This window comes from Homo sapiens, chromosome 17 (assembly GCF_000001405.40).
Source record: "Homo sapiens chromosome 17, GRCh38.p14 Primary Assembly".
NCBI lineage: Eukaryota > Metazoa > Chordata > Mammalia > Primates > Hominidae > Homo > Homo sapiens.
Window position 1 is genome coordinate 52042663 of NC_000017.11, and position 26768 is coordinate 52069430.

Below are 26768 nucleotides of genomic sequence, written 5' to 3' on the forward strand. Positions count from 1 at the left end.
AATCTTTGGCAAGACCAATATCAAGGAGCTTTCCCCCTATGTTTACTTCTAGGAGTATTAGTTTCAAATGTCACATTTAAATCTGAATTCATTTCAACTTTTTTTATGTGTATGATGTAAAACAACGGTCTAATTCCATTATTTTGCATGTGAATACCTATTTTTCCCAACATCATTTATTTAAGAAACTATCCTTTCCCTGTTGTGTATTCTTGACACCCTTATCAAAGATGCGTTGAGTGATGTGCATAGGTTTATTTCTGGTCTCTTAGTCTGTTCTATTGGTCTGTTTGTCTGTTTTTATTCTAGTACTATACTCCTTTGATTACCAGAGCTTTGTAATATAGCTTGAAATCAGGAAGTGTGATGCTTCCAGTTTTGTTATTGTAATGCAATTTTGCATTGGATATTCAGAGCTGTTTGTGGTTGTATGTGAAATCTAGGATTGTCTTTCTGCTTCTGTGAAAAAATCCACTGGAATTGTGTTGAATCTGTAGATAACTTTTCGTAGCATGAGCATTTTAACAACGTTAATCCTTCCAATTCATTAACACAGAATATCATTCTATTTATTTGTGTCTTCTTCCATCAGCATCTCACAGTTTGCACTATAGATCTTTTATCTCCTTAGTTAAATTTATTCCTAAGTATTTTATTCTTTTTGGTGCTAGTGTAAATTTGATTGTTTTCTTAATCTCTTTTTTGCATATTTTGTTGCTAATGTACAGAAACAAAATTTTTTGCACATTGATTTTATATACTGCAACTTTACTAAATTTATTAGTTCTAACAGTTTCTTGGTGGAGTTTTAGCATTTCTATAAATAAGATTATGTCATCTGCAGAGAGAGACCATTTAGCTTCTTCCTTTCCAATTTGAATCTTTTATTTCTTTTTCCTAATTGCTCTGGCTAGAACTTCCAGTACTATATTGAATAAAAGTTGTGACAGTGGGCATTCCTCTCTTATTTCTGATCTTAGAGAAAGAGCTTTCAGCTTTTCACTGTTGTGTATAATGTTAGCAGTGGGCTTGTCATACATGGCCTTTATTATGTTGAGGTACATTTCTTCTATACCTAATTTGTTGAGAATTTTTATTATGAAAGGATGTTGATTTTGTCAAATGCTTTTTCCCCATCTATTGAGATAATCATATATTTTTCATAATCCATTCTGTTATGTGGTACATCATGTTTACTGACTTCTGTATGTTAAACCATCCTTACTTTCCAGTGATAAATCCTACTTGATCAGGGTGTATGATTCTATTAATGTGCTGTTGAATTCAATTTGCTAGTATTTTGCTGAGGATTTTTGCATCTATGTTCAGCAGGGATGTTGGCCTGTAATGTTCTGTTCTCTTAGTGTTCTTATTTGGCTTTGATATGAAAATCATGCTGCCATTGTAAAATTAGTTTGGGAGAATTCTGTCCTCTTCAACTTTATCAAAGTGTTTGACAAGGACTGGTATTAATTCGTCTTTAAATGTTTGGTAGAATTCACCCATGATCCATCTGCTCCTGGGTTTGTCTTTGATAAGAGGTTTTTGATTACTGGTTTCATCTCTTTTCTCACTATTGGTCTGTTCAGATTTTCTGTTTCTTCATGGTTAGTCTTGAGAGGTTGTATGTTTCTGGGAATTTATTTTTTATTTTTATTTAAGACAGGGTCTCCCTCTGTTGCCCATGCTGGGGTACAGTTGCATGATCATTGCTCACTGCAGCTTCAACCTCCTGGGCTCAAGCAATCCTCCCACCTCAGCTTCTCAAATAGCTGGGACTATGGGTGCATGCCACCACACCTGACTAATTTTTGCATTTTTTGTAGAAATGGGGTTTTGTCATGTTGCCCAGGCTGGTCTCGGACTCCTGAGCTCAAGCCCTCCACCCACCTCGGCCTCCCAAAGTGCTGCAATTACAGGTGTGAGCCACAGCACCCAGCCTGGGAATTTCTTTAGAGAAATGGAAGCTTTCCAAAATATACAAAGGGAACTTCTAGACATAAAAAATTTAAATATCTGAAATGAAAAAATATACTTCATGAGATTAGTAGCAGATTAAATACTGCAGAAGAAAAGATCTTGAACTAGAAGAAACAGCAACAGAAACTATTAAAGTGCAAAGAGAAATAAAGAAGAAAATTGAACAGAACCTCAACAACTTGTGAAACACTATCAAGCAATCTAAGATATGTATAACTAGAATCCCAGAAGGAATTGAGATTGGAAAGTGGGTGATGGTAACAACTGTGAAGAAATCATGGCCAAATCTTTCCAAATTTTATGAAGACCTATAAATCCAAGAAGCTCAATGAACCATAAAAAATTGAACATAAATAAAACCACAATAAGATGCATCATAACAAAATAAATGAAAACCAGAACAAAGAAAAAATCTTAGAAGTGGGCAAACTAAAAAATATATTACATACAGAGATACAAAGGTAAGAATGCTAGTAAACTTACTTAAAACTACGCAAAACAAAACTAACTGATGCAATATCAAATACAGAAAACCAACCATCAACCTACTTAGATTTTATTATCTAGTAAAAACACATTTTATAAATAAAGGTTAAATAAAGCCCATTTCAGAAAAAAATATATAAAAACATTCATTGCCGAGAGCTCTGCAATATTTCAAAGAACTATTTAAGGAGGTACTAAAATCGTATAGAAAATGATAGCTTTATAGATGGAAATTTGGATCTACACAAGGGAATAAACATAAAAGTTAAATATTTGGATAAATATGAAAGATTTTTCTCATTTTTAATTTCTTCAAAAGATAAATTATGATTTAAAGTGAAAATAACAATTGTAATACAGTATATAACATGAGTAGGAATAAAATATATGACATTAATACCACAGAGCCAAGAGGAGGGCAATGGAACTATACTGTTGTAAGGTTTCCATATGCTAATAAGAGTGCTTCAAAATAAATAAAGAAAAATTGCTAGAACTGAAAGAAGAAATATGCAAATCCACAAGGATAATTGGAGATTTCAACACACCTCATTAAATAATTGACATAACTATGAAAAAATCAGTTAATGTACGGAAGACTTGAAAAACACTTTCAACCAATGGAACCTAAACGACATGTATTTTAAAACTCCACCAAATAACAGCACTATATGCATTCATTTCAAGTGCACGTGGCATGTTTTGCAATTTGATCATACTGTGAGACATAAAACAAGTCTTAAAAAGTTAAGACGTATGACAATCACAACAGAAATGAACTAGATATGAGTAATAGGAATATACCTAGGAAAATTTTAAGATATTTGGCACTCAACTAGTGTATTTTAAATAACTCATGGGTCAAAAATTACAGAGAAATAAGAAAATAGTTTGAACTGAATAAAAATTAAATCACACATACTAAGATTTGTGGGATGTTGCTAATGTAGTACCTACAGGGAAATTTCCAGCACTAAATTCTTATATTAAAAAATAATGCATGCAAGGTTTTTAGCTTTCAGCTTAAAAAACTAGAAAGAGCAGAGAAAACTGAACCTAAAATAAAGAAAAAGACATAATAAAGAAATCAATTAAATGGAAAACAAAGAAAAAAGAAAATCCATGACACCAACCAAGAACTGTTCTTTTGAGAAATTGACAAAATTGGTAAGCTTCTAGTAAAAAAAAAAAGAATTTAATAGGAAAATAATATATAAAAGGTATAAATTATCAACAGTACAAAGGGAAGGAAGGAATTTATCACTAAGATTCTACAGACACCGAAAGTATACTAAAAGGATATAATGAGTAATGTTATGCTAATAAATTTTACAACTTATATGAAAATGACAAATTCCTTGAAAATACTTTCTACCAAAGCTTACTGTAGAAGAAATAATCTGGATAGTCATATAACAATTCAAGATATTGAAGTAGTTATAAATCTTTATAAAAATTGTGTAGGCCTAGATGGTTTCATTGATGCCTTTCTACCAAACATTTAATCTTCTAGAAAATAGAAGATGATGGAACACTTTACAGCTCCTTTCAGAAACCAGACACAGAATCACCTTGACACTAAAACCAGACAAAAACATTATATAGAAAAAAAACTTTTAGACCAATATACCTCTTTAACATAAGTTCAAAAATCTTTAACAAAGTATTAGCAAATGGAATACAACAATATATTAAAGAATAATATATCATAGTCAAGTGCAGTTCATCCCAGAAATAAAAGGTTGGTCCAACATTCAAAAACAAATCATTAATTCACCATTTTAACACACTAAAAATAAAAGACCACACAGCCATTTCCATAGATGCAGCAATTCCTCTCCTAGGTATTTAATCAAGAGAAATGAAAACATATGTTCATACACGGACTTTGCAGATGAATGTTCATAAGTTTTATTTCAGATAAACAAAATCTAGAAGCAACTCAAACTGTTCATCAATATGTGATTGTGATGTATGTATAGAATAAATCACTATTCAGCAATATAAAGGAATGAACTGCTAATACAGTCAACAATATAACATGGATGAACTTTAAAAGCACCATGCTAAGGGAAAGAAATGCTACAAAAGATTATATGCATATGGTTCTCTTAATATGAACCTCTGGGAAATGTAAAATTGTATTGGTTTCCAAGGGTGAAGGGGTCAGAGGAGTTCCTCTACTACAATGAGGCACAAGGGAACATTTTGGGATCATAAAAATATTACATATCCTGCTTTTACAGCACTGTATACACTTGTGAAAACTCACAAAATTGTAAATTTGAAATTAAAGAATTTTACTATAAGTAAATAATATCTCAACAGAATAGATATTTAAAAGACTATAAGGTTTTCACAAGTCTTAAATTTTAGACTATAAACTCTCAACATCTCCCTTTTTCCTAAGTCTTTTAAAATGAAAGTTCAATTTTAAGAAAAGTTTCACACAAAAGTAATTCATGCAAATTATTTTTAAAAATAGAAAATGTAGAAATGTACAAAAAGACAATAACTATCATCCAGAGATAAATACTTATTTTTTGCAGCTTTCCTTCCAGAGTTTTTCTTCTATAGTTATGAGAGAATATAAAAAATTTAATAATACTGTATATGTGATTCAATATCTTGCTTTTATCACTAAAACTACAAAATTAAAACCTAATATATGGAATTTATTTCCCTGATTAGAAAACTCAGAATATCTAGTTCATAAGTATTGCAAAATAACTCTTTCCAACTTAAAAAATTCCAGTTAGAAAATATGTTTTATGGTGAAACAATATTATATTAGTAAAATAAAAGCCTGAAAAAGTTTCATTTGGTCTTATTTAGATGAAAACAAATGAATTTTCAAGACTTGCTTCTCATCTATACACCAATGGCTCCATCCAATCTCCCACACCCACAAAAATTAAAAAAAAAAAAAACATTTGTTTTTGGTTTTATTTTGCTGAAGCATCTGAAAGGCAGTTTGCTGAGAGCCAAACTGGGGGAAAAAATGTCTTGTTTAGAGTTCACCCTATCTGCAAAAGTCTTAACTTTGGAGTCAGTCACTTAACATTCTTGGTTTTAGTATATATTTCAGGAAAAGATGTAATAAATCACTCCAAGATACAAATGCATCTGGGAAGCAGAATCATTCCACTGGAAAGCAAGACAAAGGGGGCAGTGCTCTGCAGGTACTAATCAGATAGAAAGAAGCAGCTGAGAGCGATTTCTTGCATCTGTTTATCAAGTACATAAATACTTTAAGCACCTACTGTTAGCCAGGCACCGTGCAGGCAGTATAGCGGGTGGAAAGATACAAATTACTTGCCCTCTAGGACTTGACAGTCTGTACACACAAATTCCTATAATGTGATGTCTATCGTAAAGAGTACAAAGAAAGTTTAAGAATTCAGAATTGAATTTGATCATTTTCAGCTGAAACATCAAGGAGCCATGAAAGGGGGTAATCTAAAGCTGGCTTGTGTGGAATGAGTCAGATTTCAACAGGCAGGTATAGGAGCCCTCAGGGTGGGGTAGAGTAGGAAAATAATCTGAATATGCTGAGAGGCATGACAAAGCTGCTGAGCTGAGAATGCTGAGGACATACCCAGGGAAGAGTTAATTAGTCCAGGTTGACAGCAGTAGCTACATGCTGGGGAATTGTGACTGATGAGCTTAGAAGTTGAGGCCAAATTGCAGATGGCTTTGGCTACCAGGAGAGATGTGTAGACATTACCCTACAAGAAATGGGAGGTCATTGAAGGTTTTCGATCAAGGGTATAATAGGATGCTGTTGTGCTTTGATTAGTCTTGTTGCAATGACTAAAAAATGATTGAAGAAAATAAAAACAAGGTAGGGGTTTATCACAATATTCTGAAAGCCTGAAACCACAATGGTAGCAGAAGGCATAAAATAAAATGACATATATAAGAATTATTTTGTAGTTAAAAGCTATGAGTTTGAGCAATATTGACTTTAAGTGGTGGGCGTTAGGAAGAATCAAGATCCAGAAGGCTAAACAGGAGCAGAAGTACTTTCATTGCCATCTCACATATTCACTTATGATTGCGAGAGTCTCACTGAATCCAGGTGTGACCACAGGATGCTCAGAATAGTACCATGGCAGAGTACTCAGAATGTGAATTCTGCAGCTGGACTGCCTGGGTTTGAGTCCTGATTCTGCTACTTACTAGCTATGCGGCCTTGAGTAAGTTACTAAACCAGCACATGCCTCCTCTCATAAAATATGGCCAACAATCATAATAATTCCTTTATGTGAAAGTTAGGAGAAATAAACAAGTTAACATTTGCAAAGTGCTTGGAGTCATGCCTGGCACAAAGTAAGTGTTTTACAAGTGTTTGTTAAAACAAACAAAACCTCACTATGTTCACATAGTCCTATATTAATGTGAGTTGCCATTGTGGGTGAAACTTTTGGCATCTCTGCCCATCTCCTAAAGCGTTGTCTTTTCTTTGTTCTTAATCTTTTGTTTGAAAGCTATATTTTCTCTTTAGCCAATTTCATTCACTCAGTGGCTATAAATATCATTTGTATGTTGGCAGGAGACAAATGTGTATGTCCCCTCAGACTTCTCCTGCCAACAAGATGCCTTCTTTTGAAAGTTTCACAAGTGCATCAAAATTAGCATGACTAAAACAGAATACATTTATGTGCTGCATATAGATGTTTCAGTCAGTGGTGGACTGTATATACAACCATAATCCTATAAGATTATACTGGAATACCATATGTTTTACTGGCCCTTTTCTATGTTTAGATATATTTGGATACACAAATACTCGCCATTATGCCACAGTTGCCTACAGTATTCAGGACAGCGATATATTGTGTAGGTTTGTAGCTTAGCAGCAATAGGCTATACCACATAGCCTAGGTGTACAGTAGGCAATGTCACATAGGTTTGTGTAAGTGCACTCTATGGTGTGTTCACATGACAATGAAATAGTCTAGCACATTTCTCAGAACATATCCCCACTGATAAGTGACACATGACTATTTGAATCTCCCCACCCCAAACCTGAATCACCTATAGTTTACCAATTCAGACAATGGCACCATCATTCATGGAGGTGTTGTAAATCCAAACTTAAGATTCATCCTTCGTTGCTTTTTTTTCCCCCATTCAATACATCAGTATGTTCTGTAGACATTGTCTCCAAAACATTTCCAGAGTCAGTCAATTTATCGCTCTCTTTACTCCTGACTCTCCAAGTCTAGTCACTGTTATTTCTCAAAAGCACTTCTGTAATCGACATCTAAGCAGTTTCTCTAATTCCATGCTTGCCCTTTTCTAGTTGATTCTCCCCACAACGGCTAAACAGATTGGTAAACAATGTATATCATGCATGCCACTACTCTGGTTAACACTCTATAATCACTCACTACTGAATAAAGAATTAAACCTCAATATTCTCAAATGGCCTACAAGGCCTCTTCTTCCCAGCTTCTCATTCTCTTTTCATGTCCTTCAATCCCTTCCTTGGCTTTCTCTATCATCTTCCAACATGCCAAGCTCTTTCTCACTTCAAGGACTTCCAAGGTTTGTGCTCCACCTTGTTGCAACTTTCTAAACTTGCTGGTCCACTGAACAAATTCTACTTAACCTTCAGGGCTCCCTTCAAATGACATCTTCCCAGCAAGGCCCCCCAACTCTTATTTCCTTCATAGAATGTGCATACTTTGAAAATACGTATTTATTGTAGACTTGTTTGGTTGATATTTGCCTCATCTCCTAAATTATAAGCTGAGAGGACAAGACCATATTTGTTTTGTTCACTGCTATACACCCAGACCCTGTTTAGTGCCTGGGTTGAAATGTATGTTTTGACAAGAAAGAAAAGAAAAAAAAGGGAAGGAAGGAAGGAAGGAAGGAACGAAGGAAGGAAGGAAGGGAAGGAAAGGAAGGAGGGAGGGAGGGGAAAAATGAAGAATGGAGGAAATGAAGAGTGGGAAGGGAGGAAGGAAGGAAGAAGAAAAGAAAAGAAAAGAAAGGAAGAAATGAGGGAGGGATGAAGAGAGAGAAGAAAAGAAACAAAGGAACAAAGGCACGTAAACCCTGGAAGACAACCTAGGCAATACCATTCAGGACAGACATGGGCAAAGATTTCATGATGAAGACAGGAAAAGCAATTGTAGCAAAAACCAAAATTGACAAATGGGATCTAATTAAACTAAAGAACTTCTGCACAGCAAAAGAAACTATCAACAGAGAAACCAGACAACCTACAGAATGGGAGAAAAATTTTGCAAACTACACATCCTACAAAGGTCTAATATCCAGCATTTATAGATAACTTAAATTCACAAGAAAAAAAAAAAACTCCATGAAGAAGCGGGCAAAGGACATGAACATTTTCGACAGAAGACATATATGCAGCCAACAAGTCTACAAAAAATAGCTCAACATCATTGATCACTAAAGAAATGCAAATCAAAACCACAATGATACCATCTCACACCAATCAGAATGGCTGTTATTAAAAAGTCAAAATATAACATATGCTGACAAGGTTGTGGAGTGCCTATACATGGTTGATGGGAGTGTAAATTAGTTCTACCATTGTGGAAGACAGTGTGGCAATTCCACAAAGATCTAAAGAGAGAAATACCATTCAACTCAGCAGCCCCATTACTGAGTATATACCCAAAAGGACATAAATCATTCTATTATAAAGACACATGCATACATATGTTCACTGTAGAACTAGTCACAATAGCAAAGACACGGAATCAACCTAAATGCCCATCAATGATAGACTGGATGAAGAAAATGTGGTACATATACACCATGGAATACTAGGCGGCCATAAAAAAGAACAAGATCACGTCCTTTGCAAGGACATAAATGGAGCTAGTAGCCATTATCCTTAGCAAACTAACACAGGATCAGAAAATCACATACTTCATATTCTCACTTATAAGTGGGAGCTAAATGATGAAAACACAGGGACACATAGAGGGTAACAATACATACTGGGGCCTTTCAGAGGGTGGAGGGTGGGGGAAGGGAGGAGGGATCAGGAAAAATAAGTAATGGGTACTAGGCTTAATACCCGGGTGATTAAATAATCTGAACAACAACCCCCCATGACATAAGTTTACCTAGGTAACAAACAAACCTGCACTTGTACCCCTGAACTTAAAAGGCTTTTTTTTTTAAAAAAAAAAAAAAAAAGACAGGCATTCACCAACCCTGATGAGTAGCCATTGACTTTTGCCTCTCAGACCTGGCAAGGCATTGAAACAATGGAGTTAAGAAGGATAAACCAGTTTGGTATGAAAAGAGGACTCACTTAGTTTTGGCTTATTATCATTCAGGGCACACATATTTACTGTCTCCTCCATGCATGCTTCCCACATGTTATTACAGAAAAGATATTAGAAAAGAAATGAATACATAACAACTTCAATAAATATGAACAAGTGGTACTTGTAAGACCAGGAATTTTGAGGAGTTTTCAGAAGATATCAAGTGAATAGGATCAGATTTAATAAAATAATAAATAAATAACTAGGACTGAGAATAAGCTCCTTGTAGTATAATAGCTTTTCTTCCTAAATTCTCACTGGCTCCTTAGATAAAGGTTAAACCTGCTGACAAAAGTACTCGGAGCAGAAGCAGCTTACATAGGGCAATAACTAGAGTACAACCTATGAAAGCCTTGGCTGCTTTTCCTTCTCCTCCTTTGCATATTAATGCTAAGTTTGGATATGGCATTTGCTCCCATATTGAAACCGTGTAAAGGGCCTTCCAGTAAAGCAATACAGTGTGTATGAGTATGTGTGTGTGTGAGAGAGAGAGTGTGTGTGAGTGTGAGTGATGTGTGTGTGTGTGGTGGCTTCCTACTATGTGCCTGGGGCCAGAGAGAAGCAGACCAAACCAAGGTAACTTCAGAACCACACAGCTGACACAGAAATGAAAAAATAAGGACAATTCTTTAGAGGACTAAAATGCAACCATACATATCACTTCCTAATGTTTTCCTTACTTTAGAAATAGATTTCACCAACTTGTCTCTTTATCCTCTGCTCCTATATCTTGAAGGAAGATGGTGAAATCAGCATTGTCTCCATTTCTAACCCTCTCATTAAAAGTAGGGGGCTATCATAGGCACAGGTGTAACTGCAGAGGAAATCATACCAGCTTCCAATACCAACTGAGCTCTTTGTTTAAAACAGGAACAAATAGATAAACATAACCAGACATCTGAGGGAAATCAATAGCATGAGAGAGAAGAACCAAGATTAACAAAGAAAGGTAACATAAAAAACAAAAGAAAACTTTTAAAAAGTTCAATCAGTATACTTGCAAGAATTTAGCAAACTAATATGTCTATAAAATAAGAAAATACTCAAACGGATAAATAGAAAAAATGAAAAGTTTTTGGAAATTAAGATATAATTGTCAAAATTTAAGAAGGTAACAGAAGTCCTGTACAAAAGAATGGACATTGCTGAAAGCCAAAGAAGAAATATGGAAGATAAGAAAGGAAATCTAAAAATTAACATAAAAAGGCAGAGATAGAAATTGAGTGCACAGAAAGGATACATGTTGCGGGAAGTCAGGGACCCCGAATGGAGGGACCAGCTGAAGCCATGGCAGAAGAACATAAATTGTGAAGATTTCATGGACATTTATTAGTTCCCCAAATTAATACTTTTATAATTTCTCATGCCCATCTTTACTGCAATCTCTGAACATAAATTGTGAAGATTTCATGGACACTTATCACTTCCCCAATCAATACCCTTGTGATTTCCTATGCCTGTCTTTAATCTCTTAATCCCGTCAGCTTCATAAACTGAGGAGGATGTATGTCACCTCAGGACCCTGTGATGATTGCATTAACTGCACAAATTGTTTGTAGAGCATGTGTGTTTGAACAATATGAAATCTGGGCACCTCGAAAAAAGAACAGGATAACAGCAATGTTCAGGGAACAAGGGAGATAACCTTAAACTCTGGCTGCCTGTGAGCCAGGCGGAACAGAGTCATATTTCTCTTCTTTCAAAAGCAAATAGGAGAAATATCGCTGAATTCTTTTTCTCAGCAAGGAACATCCCTGAGAAAGAGAATGTGTCCCTAAGGGGAGGCCTCTGAAATGGCCACTTTGGGGACAGCTGTCTTTTACGGTCGTACATAAGGGATGAAATAAGCCCCAGTCTCCTGTAGCACTCCCAGGCTTATTAGGATGAGGAAATTCCCGCCTAATAAATTTTGGTAAGACTGGTTGTCTGCTTTCAAACTCTGTCTCCTGATAAGATGTTATCAATGACAATGCGTGCCCGAAACTTCATTAGCAATTTTAATTTCGCCCTGGTCCTGTGGTCCTGTGATCTCACCCTGCCTCCATTTACCTTGTGATATTTTGTTACCTTGTAAAACATGTGATCTCTGTGACCCATACCCTAATTGTACACTCCCTCCCCTTTTGAAAATCACTAACAAAAACTTGCTGGTTTTGCGGCTTGGGGGGCATCACGGAACCTGCCGACATGTGATGTCTCCCCCAGACACCCAGCTTTAAAATTTCTCTCTTTTGTACTCTTTCCCTTATTTCTCAGACTGGCCAACACTTAGGGAAAATAGAAAAGAACTTACGTGAAATATCGGGGGTGAATTTCCCCCGATAGATATGGAAATTATAAATGGAAAGAAAAAAAGGCATTAAAGACCCATGTGTTGCAAAAACTATCCAGAATGAGAGAGTAGGGGTAACAGATGGGAGAAGATAATCAAAGAAATAATAGAAGAAAATTTTTCTAGGAAGTGACTTGAATATTCATTTAGTCGATAAGATTTACTGAGCTCTTACTTTTTGCCAGGCATTGTTCTTAGCATTTACAGATCAGGAAACAAAACAGGAAAAGAAATCTCTGCCTCCCACAAATAATTAACAAACATATACACTTAGATATATCCCAGTGACATTTTTGAACTTCAGGAATAAAGATGATATCCTAAAAAAGCCAGTAAGGCCTGGTCTGGTAGGGAACATTTATCTACAAAAGCATTAGACTTATCTGAGACTCTTTGCAAGCTGGCAATAGAGTAACACCTAGGACTATCTTAAGGAAAGAAGGTAATTTTGACACTAGAATTTTATTACCAGATGAACTGTCAGTAAAGTGTGAGGGTGAAGACAAACCTTTTATTGGACACCTGAGGACTCAGAAAACTCATCACTCATATATCCTTCTGGTGAAAAAAAAAAAAAAAACAAAGCAAAACTTAAATATGGAGTTTCCAAAACTATAAAGTGAATTTAAATATATACCACAATATGTGAGAAAGAATAGAAATAATCTAGGCAGTAAAACAAATTTAGTGTGATATCTGAAAACAAGGTTAGAAAGCCATCAGTTGATATTAGAACAGCATGTTGGAGGCTCCAAGAATGTATTCAAGAAAAAGTAGTTGTCATAACACCAAATTCCTGATTAAAAATCAAGACTGTAAATGTATTGTGAAACTGATATATTATTGTGTGATATATTATAAAAAGTCCTATAATAATATATTACTGATACCGTTTCAGACAGATGAGATGAAGGGTTATTTTCTCCCAATTAGCCATAAAAAGGTAATATTTTCCTAGTAAAAATAAATGCAAGAATGGCAGTGTCTGAATATAAAACTCTTTTAAATGAGGCATAATTCTGGGCAACTGATATAGTGTTAGAAAGATCCTTCAGGGGAAACCCATCATATCTCTAAGAATAAGGCAGATAGCCTCAAATAAAGCATAAAAGTATTTATAATTGATATTAGCTACACCCTGTGAATTTCAGGTGATCACATGGGGAGGTAAAGCTGACCAAATTCTTGGAATATGAGGTTGTAACTGGGAAGTGACTGGAACTAGGGTGGGAGATTTTGTAGTAGTTCACATAAAGCAGGTGACCACTGATGGAAGCTGTGAGAAGAGGAGATGGCAGATGAAGAGGCTCTGGAAGTCTACCTTTTAGGAGGTGACATGAGGAAGAGCAGGCACAGCGGGCTGCAAAGGAACCCTCAAATCTATAAATATGCACTCTTCCAGAAAGGAAGAGGAGGTGTCCAAAATGAGACTCACTGGTGATTGGTGATTGGAAAGGCGACAAGGGCATTTGGCAGGAAGTGATGACCCAATTCTGTTCAGTGAGGGAAGAAGGCAGCTTGCAGGGCAATTTGGAATTGGAATGCAAAAATCATAAGTCACCATGGCGTCTATTCATAAGAAGTCATGAAGCGGGTTGGTGGGGAGAAAGAAGCCCCCTAACCTCAGCCATGATCATCAAAACGGGTCCTTCAACTGAGGCTGGGCTGGGAAAGAGGAGCTGGCTTGCTAGTGTTGTGAAATTTTCAAAGTAAGAGCATCCCATGCTGGATACTTGCTGCATAAAAGCCTTTGCTATATAGTTTATCTTTTTTAAGACTGTTATAGAAACTACATTTTATAAGTGTCCACAGGCATATCCCTGTCATGCTTTTGCAGTTATAAGAAGTAGAATTCCTGGTTGGGAGTTATAGTCTTCCTGTCTTTGATTTTCTTCTGCTTGACAAAAAGGAATAACCTGAGGTTAAAGCATCCTGCTGTGTATTCTGTAAACAATCCCATTATCATACAACCACCCAGTGAGCACTACTTACCCTTACAAAGTATCAACAGATAACTAAACTGCTCTTCAGTAAAGCTATATCTGATTTCAAGTACAAATAAAAGCTCTAAATAGTCACACAGAATGATATAGTTGATGTAATTCAAGCTCTGTTCTTTGTGTTTACAATCATAGTGCTATTGTTTATTTTATATGAACTGCTGAAATTCAGGAATATGTGGTACAACAGCGATTAGAGACACGACTTGGCCTACAGTAGCTCCACCAATCTGGAACCCTTTGAAATGTTCTCTTGGAACAAAACTCATGTAGCTGAATGCCTCTGTGTTGGAGGCTAACTGAATAATTAGAGTTTCCCCCATCAAATTCTATGTAAAATACAGTGCATAGTAGAGAATCAGTAACAAAAACATGCAATTGACCCTTGAACAACATGGGGTGTGAGCTACGTAGGTCGACTTATACACAGATTATTTTCAATAAGTTACACTGAGGGTGCCTGCCCATCCTGCTTCCCCATCTATCTACCTCTTCTGCCTCTGCCACCACTGAAACAGCATAACCAACCCTTCCTCTTTTCCCTCCTCCTCAGCCTACTCAACATGAAGACAAGGATGAAGATCTTTATTATGATCCACTTCCACATAATGAACAGTAAATCTATTTTCTTTTCCTTATGACTTTCTTAATAACATTTTATTTTCTCTAGCTTTGTTTATTGTAAGAATACAGTATTTAATAAATATATAAAATACGTGTTGATGAACTATTTGTTATCAGTAAGGCTTCCGGTCAACCATAGGCTCTTAGTAGTTGAGTTTTGGGGGAGTCAAAGTTATACATGGATTTTTGGCGGCATGGGGGTCAGCATCCCTAATCACCACATTGCTCAAGGGTAAATTGTATTGTTAAAACTCAACAGTAACTACAGCAATTGTTTAGAGCTTAGACCCACAAAAGGTTTTTCGAAGTGGAGTATTTTATCACTGGCATTTTTACAATTTCCAGCACCTGGGGATAATAAAAAGCAGGTCATTTGGTGGGTTTCATTATTATTATTAAATTCTCTCCAGACAATGCACGCTGTTACTGCCTGCACCCAGCATGGAACACTCCCTATGTTCCTTCCTTTGTGCACTTCTGACTGTGTAGATCCTGAAGTTCCAAAGTGTTTCTCAAGAGGTTGATTAGCTAGAACCACTTGTGTTGATTGGCCAGAAATTTCCTGGTGTGACTAGGAAAGCCATGAACCTCTGAGAAGGATTGGTACAAAAGCCTATCCAACAGGAGTACTTCATATTGGATGGCTGCAACGTGACCCAAACCCTCTCAGTGCTGAAATATATATGCAGGTTTATATACACTTACATGAGGTAGTGTCTTTAAGTACAATACGCTGTAGTTGGCACATACTGAAAAGCCTTACACGTGCCTCCCTGGATCAGATGGAACTCAGAAGGATCAGGAACTCAGTAATGGTACAATTGATCAGGTTGCTTTTATACAACTTTAAATAGCCTAAAGCAAAATTATAATAATAAAAATCGTAATATCTTTGTATACTTTCATAGTCTATGATGCAGGACTAACTCTAATACAAAATTTTATTTTTACAAAAATGTTTGAGACACATTTCTCATTGTCTTATTGTCTGTATTTTACAAATGAGTAAACTGAGGCTCTGAGACATTAGGTGATTTTCAAACATTATTGTCCATCAAATGGTTGGAACACAATGGAGTGGGATCCAAAGCATGACCTTCTAAGTCCAGTGGGCTTTCTGCCGTGCAGCTCTGAAGTGTGGTAATAATAGGGACTCTCATAAATGAAATGATAAATAGGACTGCTTACTGGTTACATGAAGTTTTCAATCTGTTATTAAGTAGCAGTTCAGATTTCACTATGTTTAATCCACCAGCAATGATCTTTTCCATCTTGCATACCTGGCAGATGCCTATTCATCTTTTAAGCCCTATGTCAAGAGAAGCCTTCATCTGCAAAGCCTTTTCTGACCCCAAAGGTAGGGTTAGTTGTTTTCTTTTTTCTGCAGCCAATCCACATGTGTGGATCCCACCACTCATGTCTCACATGCCTTATTAGGCTAAACTGTAACTCTTAATTTGCATGTCTGTCTCTAAACTCAACTGCGAGCTCTTAAGATCAGGAGCTGTCATTTATTCTGATTTGTATACCTAGTGTCTAGCAGAGTGTCTGGCACATCAGGCTCTGAGTAAATTTTACACACTATGCATCCCCATTTTTGGGGAAAAGAAATAACAAAGTATTTCTAATTGAGGGTGAGTCAGTGTAACATCACCCTCTCATACTGAGAGAATATATCCATTAAATTCTGCTTGCTTCCTCTTAGAGATGAAAAATCAGAAATCTAGAGAGAGAGACTTGCATCACTGCCTCCACTTACAAACACTGATATTGAGAACATAATAAAATTATCCTGTGGATGAAATCAATATTCTATTCCTTAATGCTGCTAACTATAACTTCCAAACCAATCTTAGCAAGCTCACAAAAAAATATCAGAGCTGGAATGGTTCTTTGGAAACCATGCAGCTCAATACCCTGATTCTATAGGTGAGGAAAACAAGCTCCTGATATGCTAAGTGACTTGCCTAAGATCTCATGTTTGGTCAGTGGAAGACACAAGCCACTGAGCATTTTCCAGAACCCGTTGCTGCATCTATTATCCAAAGGAGGAAGACAATTGATAACAAAAAGTCCGGGGGCACAAAATACTGGTGTGCTCACCCACACACACACTCCCTGCCCAAGAAAATTCAATGGCTGAATTAGAAGATCTATCAAATGTAAATGACAAGTTAACAGGTGCAGCCCACCAACATGGCACATGTATACATATGTATCAAAACTGCACATTGTGCACATGTACCCTAGAACTTAAAGTATAATAAAAAAAAAAGTGCTAAAGAAAAAAAAAAAAGAAAACTCAATGGCTGAAATATGACCTTACACAGTTAATGACTGACTACCTCCAATGGAGAGAGTTATTCAATATGCCACAGGGCTCATTAAAATGCAAGTTTTATTCTTAAGATAACTTGAAACAAAATTCTACTCTCAAACACAAAGGTTTACATACAATTTTGTAGCAAAACAATTGATGTCATAAAGTAAGACATCAGGAGGGGCTTTGGAGTACAGTCCAATTCGAGAAATACTACCTGTTAATGCAAGTGATCTGGTTCTAGGTCCAACTCCATCATTCATTTGTTCTACAACTAAAGATCAATCTCTAGCCTTGTTGAATCTTCCACATTTACTGATTGGTGATAGAAATACGTGTCTTTTTATAAGTTGTCACAAATGAGACAAACACATGTTGATATCACGTACCCTCTGATAGGATGTAATGCAAATGGAACTCTATCTCCAGGGAACCTTTCCCCAAAACTCACAATCCCAGATTAACCAAGAAAAGCATCAAACACACAGAAATTCAGGAATTTTATACAAAGTAGCTCACCAGTATTTCTCAAAACTGTCAGTCATGAAAAATCAAAAGATTCAGAAACTTTCACAGCCCAGAGGAGACGAAAGAGACATGAAGGCTAAATGTAATATGGTATCCTAAATTGGATTATGCAACAGAAACAGGACCTTAGTGGAAAAACTCGGATATTAAAAAAAAATCTGGAGTTTAGTTTACCAGTAATGTATCCAGGTTGGTTTCTTAGTTTTGACAAATGTATTGCTAATGTAAGGCATTAAATTAGGGACCTTGGATAAAGAGTATATGGAAACTCCCTGTATAACTTTTCTGTAAATCTAAAGTCATCCCAAAATAAAAAAATTATTTTGAAAGATGACACCTGGAAAGGCTTTCTAAAATGTAATAAATGATATCCAAATGCTAGATCATGTCTAGAGAGAAGATAGATTTGTGTTGAGTTTTCAGTGGATTAATCTGGCATATAGCCTTTTATTTTTGCCTGTAGTTCATTTTTTTCTAGAAGATAAGCAGAACAGTACTATTGTCTATCCAAGAAGTATCACCTGTTAATCAAATTTATACATATTTGTAGTGGAAAGAGCATTGGATTAGAAATGTGCTTATTTATAAACCTGCTTCTACGTTGACCTGCATTGGAAATTTAGATAGTAACTTTATCTAATTTGCTTTGTTTTCTCATCTGGAAAAAGGGGAGTATGAGTGCAAATTTTGTAAGGGATGAATGAAGTAACATGAGTAAACCAGTACTGACAACTATAAAATCATATGTTCATGTGATGGGTTAATTGTGCTTCCATTAGCTTTGGAGATAATGTAAGTATGAAAAAAAGAATAATGGTCTTCCCAAAATGTCCATATTCTAATCCACCAAACCTGTGAATGTGTTACCTTATATGGCAAAATATATTTTGCAGATATGATTATGTCAAGGATCTTACGATGGGGAGATCATCCTAGATTATCCAGATGGGCCAAATGCAATCACAAACATTCTGAAAAGTGGGAGGCAGAAGGGTCAGAGTTAGAGAAAGATATGTGATAACAGAAGCACAGGCTGGAGCCATGCAAGGAAGGGACCCTGCACTGAGTAATGCAGGTGGCTTCTAGAAGGTGGAGAAGGCAAGGGATTGATTTCTCCTCAGAGCCTCCATAATGCAGGCTGCCCTAGTGACACCTTGATTTTAGTGTGTCCAACTTTTAAAATGGTAAGATAATAAATCTGTTGTTTCTAGCTACTAACTTTAGGGTAATTTGTTATAAGACTGATATGGTTAGCCTTTGTATCCCCACCCAAATCTCATCTTAAATTGTAATTACCAGGTGTTGAGAGACCTAGTGGGAGGTGATTGGATCATGGGGGCAGTTTCCCCACATGTTGTTCTCATGATAGTGAGTTCTCATGAAATCTCATGGTTTTGTAAGTGTTCACTGGTTCCTCTCTTGCTGGCTTCTTCTCTCTCCTTCCTCCATGTGAAGAAGGTGTTTGCTTCCCATTCACCTTCCGCCATGATTGTGAGTTTCTTGAGGCCTCCCCAGGCATGTGGAACTGTGAGTCAATTAAACCTCCTCTGTTTATAAATTACCCAGTCTTGGGTAGTATCCTTATAGCAGTGTGAAAAAGGACTAGCACATGGAGCTATAGGAAACTAATACAATTACTTTAACTATCACTTAATTGGGATGTATTGAAGGATAAACTTACTGGCTTATCAAAGGGAGACTGAATGTGGGTCTCTTGGAAGGGGTGGTCACATACTGAATTTCTGAGGGAGAAAACCTCATAAATTCACTATATGCCGCAAAGCAAAGCTTTCAAGAAGTGGTGTGGCCACTTTTTTTTTTTTTTTTTTTTGAGATGGAGTCATGCTTTGTTGCTCAGGCTGGAGTGCAGTGGCACAATCTTGGCTCACAGCAACCTTCGCCTCCCAGGTTCAAGTGATTCTTATGCCCCAGCCTCCCAAGTAGCTGGGATTACAGGCACCCACCACCATCCCTGGCTAAGGTGTGGCTACTTTTAACAGCTTACAGTAAGATATGGCAGCAAAGGAATTACCTAAAGGTGGAATTTGTAATTAAAAGGAAAGCAGAATATAAAAACATGAAAAATTTACAGTCTAGCAATGTGACAGGAAAGGAAAGAATGTTTTCAGGAGAAAAATCCAGTGGTGCTGAGGGGTAACCACTTGTTAAAGAGATTAAAATGGATAAAAGGGAGTCAGGTGCAAAGAGTCAAAAAAATTGGAAAAAGGTTTTTCAGAAATCTTTGTAGCCCCCTCCCATCATAGGCCCACAGGCCTGGGAAAACAAAATGGTTTCAGGGAACAGGCCCGAGTTACCCCGAAGCCACTTTGATATGCTTTCTCAACATTCAAGCTGCTCCAGCTCCAGGTGAGGCACAAATAACCCCACATACTATTTCAGCTGGTGCTCCAGAGGGTGCAAGCCATAAATCTCAGCAGCATCCACTTGGTGCTAAGTCTGTAGGCTCCTAGAATGCAAGAGCAGTGGAAGCTGCCAAGCCTGTAGATTTCAGAGGATGTATTGGAAAGCCTGGGTGCCCAGGCAGAAGCCTTCTGCAGGGAAGGAGCTCCTACAGGGAGCCTCTACTAGGGCAGTGCCCAGGGGAGCTGTGGGAACAGGAGCACCACACTTCAGACACCAGAATTATATAGCCACTGGCAATGAGCCACACTAGCATGGAAATGCTGCAGGTATTAGATTCCAAACTGTAAAAGCAGCAATGTGGGCTGCACCCAGAAAAACTGTGGGGGCAGGGCTTTCCAAGGACTTGGGAGCCCACTTCTCATATCAGTATGCCCAGGATGCAGGACATGGGTCAAAGAAGATTATTTTGGAGCTTTAAGATTTAATGTCTGCCCTGCTGGGTTTTAGACTTCCATGAAGACTGCTTACCCCTTTCTTTTGGCCAATTTTTGTCTTTGTGAACGAGAATGTTTACCTAATGCCTATACAAACATTGCATATTATAAGTAGATGAATTGCTTTTGATTTCACAGGCTCATAGGTGGAAGGAACTTGCCTTGAGTCTCAGATGAGATTTTGGATTTGGGACTTTTGAGTAGATGCTAGAACAAGTTAAGACTTTCGGGACCATTGGGATAGAATGATTGTATTTTGCAATGTGAGAAGGATGTGAGGCATGGAGAGTCAAGCGTGGAATGCTACAGTTTGAATATCTGACCCTTCAAACCTCATGTTGAAATTTGATTCGCAATGTTGCAGGTGGGGTCTAATGAGAGGTGTTTGGGTCATAGAGGCAGATCCCTTATGAATGGCTTGGTACCACCTTTATAGTAATGAGCAAGTTATTGCTCTATTGGTTCCTGTAAGAGCTTGTTAAAAAGAACCTGGCAATTTCTCTGTATCTCTTGCTTCCTCTCTCACCATGTGATCTTTGTACATGCTGCCTCCCCTTCCACTTGCACTATGAGTAGAAACAGCCTGAGGCCCTCACCAGATGCAGATGCTGGTGCCATGCTTCTTGTACACCAGCCTGTAGAATCATGAGCCAAATGAATCTCTTTATCTCAAAATTCTTTATGAATTATCCAGCCTCAGGTATTCATTTACGGAAACACAAATGGAATAAGACAGCCCCCAACATTCCTACCTCATAGTGTACACACCCTCTAGTATGAGTGAGATTTCTGAGTATAATGGAATTTCACTTCCTTGAGTAGACTGCCATTTCTGGCAAAGATGAACAGATTTTGCAGATGTGAATAACGTTCTTAATCCGTTGACTTTCAGTTAATAAAAAGGCATGTTATACTGAATAGGCTTGACCTTTAAAAGAGAGTCTAGGCCTTCTCAGGATAGGGAGATTTAAAGTAAGTAAGGCACTTTCCTGCCAACCTTGAAGATGCAAACTGTGTTGTGAACTGCTTATTCAGCAGTGGCAGGCCATAGGAGACAAGGGTCTCAGCCCTACAACTGCATGGAATTGAATTCTGCCAAGGACCCACATGAGCTTGACTTCAGATGAGAATGCAGCCAGAATGACACCTTTTTCAGCCTTATGGGACTCAGTAGAGGATCCATTTAAGCCATGTCCAGACTTCTGACCCAAGGAAACTGTGAAATAACAAATGTGTGTCATTTTAAACTACTAAATAAATGGTAATTCTTAAGTAGCAACCAAAAAATCAAGGCAGGTACCACTTACTCCATGAATTAAGGAATGAAGAGCATGCACAGCCCCAGGCTGGCCATCCTGGATCAGCAAGTAACCCTCACCAACCAGCCAGATTTCTTTCCTGGGAGTACTGTGAAGAAAGAAGAGCTTACACTCCTTACCTGTTAATCATGAGACTTTTTTTTTTTTTAAAGTGGACATTTTGATAAACAATTAGACATCAGTGGTAACTTGTAGGTGGTTGGGTATAATTACCTTCCTTGTCCAATAATCTTTAGATTTTAAAACTACCCAAAAAGAAAAGGATGGAAAATAGCAAGCTGGGAGGGTTATTGACCTGGGTAAACCATTTGTACCCAATTTTAAAGAATGCAACAGATGATGCTGTCCTGAGCCAAAGTAGCCTGCTAGGTCCAATGCTGATCAGAAATGGCAGCAATGAGTTCCTCTATTAATCATTCAGAGGAATTCTGTATTATGATTTTAAGCTGCTGAATAAGTGGTGATCTAATTCCTCAGAAATTCCTGCTTCCCAGATCTCAGAGGAAGAGTAAAGTGCTTAAAACTATCTATTGTCCTTTATTTCCAGGATCTCCATCCAAATACTTTATGTGGCCCACAAGGCCCTCTATGAGCTGGCCCCTGACCACCCCAATCTCCAACCATTTTGCACTTGTCACTTTGCACTCTGGCCACAGTGACCTTTGTTCCATTTCTCATACATGTCATGCCCACGCTTGAGGCTCATGCTTCTGCCTTAAACAGCTGGTCTAAGATGACTCTGCACTAGCAACGTCCTTCCTTAGCTTAGCTTCTCCTAGATTACACAAGGAGGCTCTCCTTGATCTCCAGACTATTTCTACTAGGCTTTTTAAAACCTTGAGTACTTTCCATTTATAGCATGTACTACAGATTGTACTGATGTGTTTGTTACTATTATTATTTTATAACTCAATTTAAGGGTTGAGGAACAGCCTTTCACTCTGTCTCCCGAGTCAAGCCTTTGTCTTTTTCTTTAAGGAATATTGCTGTCTATTCTGACCCAAGTTTGTTTGGCAAACATTGAGCCCCTGGTGCATGGAAGGCCTGAGGTATATCCTCGAGGAATAGGTGGTGGGAAGAGATAAGGTCCCTAACTCTAGAAGCTGAACCATCCCTAGGCCCCTCACTGCTCCTATCTTAGCTCATATGGCCCTCTTCTCTGACTTTGAATTCTGTAAGAGTTTCAATCTCTCCTTTGATTCTTTAGGGTAAAATCCAAACTTCTAGTTCCTTTCAGGTAAAATCCAAACTCCCAGTTGGTATGGCCCTCCATAATCAGGCCCCTGCTGCTCTCCAAGGCCTTAATTCCCAGAGCTCTTCTTGCACTAGTGAACATTCTCTTCCAAGCTTCCAGGCTTTTGCCCATTGATATGGTTTGGCTGTGCCCCCAGCCAAATCTCATCTTGAATTGTAGTTCACATAATCCCCATATGTTGTAGGAGGGACCTGGTGGGACATAATTGAATCATGTGGACAGTTACTCCCATGCAGTTCTCTTGACAGTGAGTGAGTTTTCATCGCATCCAGTTGTTCCTTCACTCAGCTCTTCTCCTTCCTGCTGCCCTGTGAAGGTGACTTGCTTCCTCTTCCAACACGATTGTAAGTTTCATGAGGCCTCCCCAGCCATGCTGAACTATGAGTCAATTAAACTTGATATCTTTATAAATTAACCAGTCTCAGGCAGTTCTTTATAGCAGTATGAAAACGGACTAATAGAGTAAATTGGTATCACAGAGAATGGGGTGCTGCTCTAAAGATACCCAAAATGTGAAAGTGACTTTGGAACTGGGTAACAGGCAGAGGTTGGAATGGTTTGGAGGGCTTAGAAGAAGACAGAAAGATGTGGGAACTTCCTAGAGACTTGTTGAATGGCTTTGATCAAAATACTGATAGTGATATGGACAATGAAATACAGCAGGCTAAGGTGGTCTCAGATGGTGATACGGTTTGGCTGGGTCCCCACCCAAATCTCACCTTGAATTGTAATAATCTCCACATGTCAACGGCAGGGCCAGGTGGAGATAATTGAATCATGGGTGCAGTTTCCACCATACTGTTCTTGTAGTGAATGAGTCTCATGAGATCTGATGGTTTTATAGACGGGAGTTCCTCTGCACAAGCTCTTTTGCCTGCTGCCATGTAAGACATGACTTTGCTTCTCCTTCACCTTCAGCCATGATTATGAGACCTTCTCAGTCATGTGGAACTGTGAGTCAATTAAACCTCTTTCCTTTATAAATTACCCAGTCTTGGGTATGTCCTTATTAGCAGCATGAGAACAGATTAACACAGATGAAGATAAAAAAACTTGTTGGAAACGGGTATAAAGGTGACTCTTGCTATGCTTTAGCAAGGAGACTGGTGGCATTTTGCTCCACCCCAGAGATCTGTGGAGCTTTGAACTTAAGAGAAATGATGTAGGGTATCTGGCAGAAGAAATTTCTAAGCAGAAAACCATTCAAGATGTGACTTGGGTGCTCTTAAAAGTATTCAATTTTATACATTCATAAAGAGATGGTTTGATATTGGAACTTATGTTTAAAAGGGAAGCAGAGCATAAAAGTTTGGAAAGTTTGCAGCCTGATGATGTGATAGAAAAGAAAAACCCATTTTCTGAGGAGAAATTCAAGCTGGCTGCAGAGATTTGCATAAGGAGCCAAATTTTAATAGCCAAGACAATGGGGAAAATGTCTCCAGGGCATGTCAAAGGTCTTTACAGCAGCCCTCCCATCACATGCCCAGAGGCCTGGAAGAGAAAGTAGTTTCCTGGGCTGGGCCCAAGGCCTAGCTGCTTTGTGCAGTCTCTGGGCTTGGTGCCCTGCATTCCAGCTGTGGCCAAAAAGGGCCAACATATAGCTCATGCTGTTGCTTCAAAGGGTGCAAGCCCCAGGCCTTGGTGGCTTACATGTGGTGTTGGGCCTGTGGGTGCACAGAAGCCAAGAACTGAAGTTTAGGAACCTCTGCCCAGATTTTGGATGACGTAGGGAAACACCTGAATGTCCAGGCAGAAGTTTGCTGCAGTGGGGAGCCCTCATGGAGAAACTCTGCTAGGGCAGTGTGGAAGGGAAATGCGGGGTGCGAACTCCTACAGAGTCCCCACTGGGGCACTGCCTAGTGGAGCTGTGAGAAAAGGACCAAGATCCTCCTGACCCCAGAATGGTAGATCCACCAATAGCTTGCAACATGCACCTGGCAAAGCTGTGGACACTCAATGCCAGCCTGTGAAAGCAGCTGGGAGGTGGACTGTACCTTGCAAAGCCACAGGGGCAGAGCTACCCACCTCTTGCATCAGCATGACCTGGATGTGATACACAGAGTCAAAGGAGATCATTATGGACCTTTAAGATTTCACTGCCTTGCTGGATTTTGGACTTGCATGGGGCTTGTAGCCCATTTGTTTTGGCCAGTTTCTCCCATTTGGAATGGCTCTATTTACCCAATGCCTGTACCTGCATTGTATCCAGGAAGTAACTAAGTTGCTTTTGATTTTACAGGCTCATAGGCAGAAGGGGCTGGCCTTGTCTTAGATGAGACTTTGGACTGTGGACTTTTGAGTTAATGCTGAAATGAGTTAAGACTTTGCAGGACAGTTGGGTAGGCAGGATTGGTTTTGAAATGTCAGAGACATGAGGATTGGGAGGGACCCAAAGTGGTACGGTAGGTTTAGGCTTTGTGTCCCCACCTAAATCTCATTTTGAATTATAATCCCCATAATATCCACATTTCAAAGGAGAGACCAGGTGAAGTAATTGGATCTTGGGGTGGTTTCTCCCATGCTGTTCTCATGATAGTAAGTTCTTACAAGGTCTGATGGTTTTGTAAGGGGCTCTTCCCCCTTCACTCAGCACTTTTCCTTCCTGCAGCCTTGTAAAGAAGGTATCTTGCTTTCCCTTTGCCTTCTGCCATAATTGTAAGTTTCCTGAGGCCTCCCGGCCATACTTAACTGTGAGTCAATTAAACCTCTTTCCTTTATAAGTTACCCGGTCTCAGGCAGTTCTTTAAAGCAGTATGAAAATGGACTAATACAATCCCTCTTTGCCTGTGCTGTCAAGTATTCCTCACATTACCACCCTTCTCCACTTTGAGTACTCCTGAACCTTGTCAAGACCCAGTTCTAACTTCCTTTCTTCCTTTAGCCTTGTAGTGAGATGCCTGGCCCTGGAAGACTGCTTTAGGCTGCAAGTGACAGAAAGTCTGACTCAAAGTGGCTCAAGCAGTAAGAAGTTTGTTACGTCACTTAACACAATAAGTGGTGAGGCAGTTCCATGGTGAATTCAACCCTTAAGTGAGCCATAGAAGATATGGGTTTTTCTCAACTCTCCATTTTGCCATCTTAGTGTGTCTTTTGTACCCAAGTTTATTCAGAAGGCTTCTCCTTACATGGCATGAATAGAACTGTTTATCACATATGCATGACTATATTAATGTATTACTCTGGGTTCTCCTGAGAAAGAGAATCAACAGAATGGGGTGACAGTGAGAGATTTATTTAAGAAATTGGCTCACATGATGGCTGGCAAGGATGATGTCTACAGCGTAAGCCGATAGGCAGGAGGCCTAGGGAAATGTTGATATTGCTGCTCCTGGCCTAAGGCTTCTGGAGGCAGAACTCCCTTTTTCTTTGGGGACATTGGTCTTTTTCTCTTAAGGCCTTCAACTCATTGGATAAGGCCCACACATATTATACAGATAATCTGCTTTACTCAAAGTTTACTGATGCAAATGTTAATCTGGTCTTAAAAAGTACCTGCCCAACAACATCCAGGCATGTTTGGTCTAATATCTGGGTACGTACCTAGCCAAATGGACACATCAAATTAGCCATCACAATGTCTAAACCAATTACTGAGAAGAAAGAGACCAGAATCACCATTGTTGGTATAAATCTCAGCCAAGAGTAACCCTCTGGGGCTGGTAAGGGGCTCCTTCCCTGAGTATATGATGGTATGGAGGGCGAATGTGCAAGCATAGTCAGGGCTCTGCCTGCAAGACAGACTCT

General features: G+C 38.3%; 1 protein-coding gene across 3 annotated transcripts in view, besides 1 other annotated feature; it reads right to left on the reverse strand.

Moving 5' to 3' along the window:
- Positions 1–26768, reverse strand: part of CA10 (carbonic anhydrase 10) — a 529711-nt gene that overhangs the window by 412350 nt on the left and 90593 nt on the right. The window lies entirely within an intron of this gene.
- Positions 13681–13833: a silencer, noted in NCBI's record as "fragment chr17:50133703-50133855 (GRCh37/hg19 assembly coordinates)". NCBI's record gives its function as "represses an EF-1alpha promoter that drives an FKBP-Casp9 reporter gene in an ReSE screen in phorbol 12-myristate 13-acetate-treated (for megakaryocytic differentiation) K562 erythroleukemia cells {active_cell/tissue: K562(+PMA)}" and the evidence as "EXISTENCE:reporter gene assay evidence [ECO:0000049][PMID:32094911]".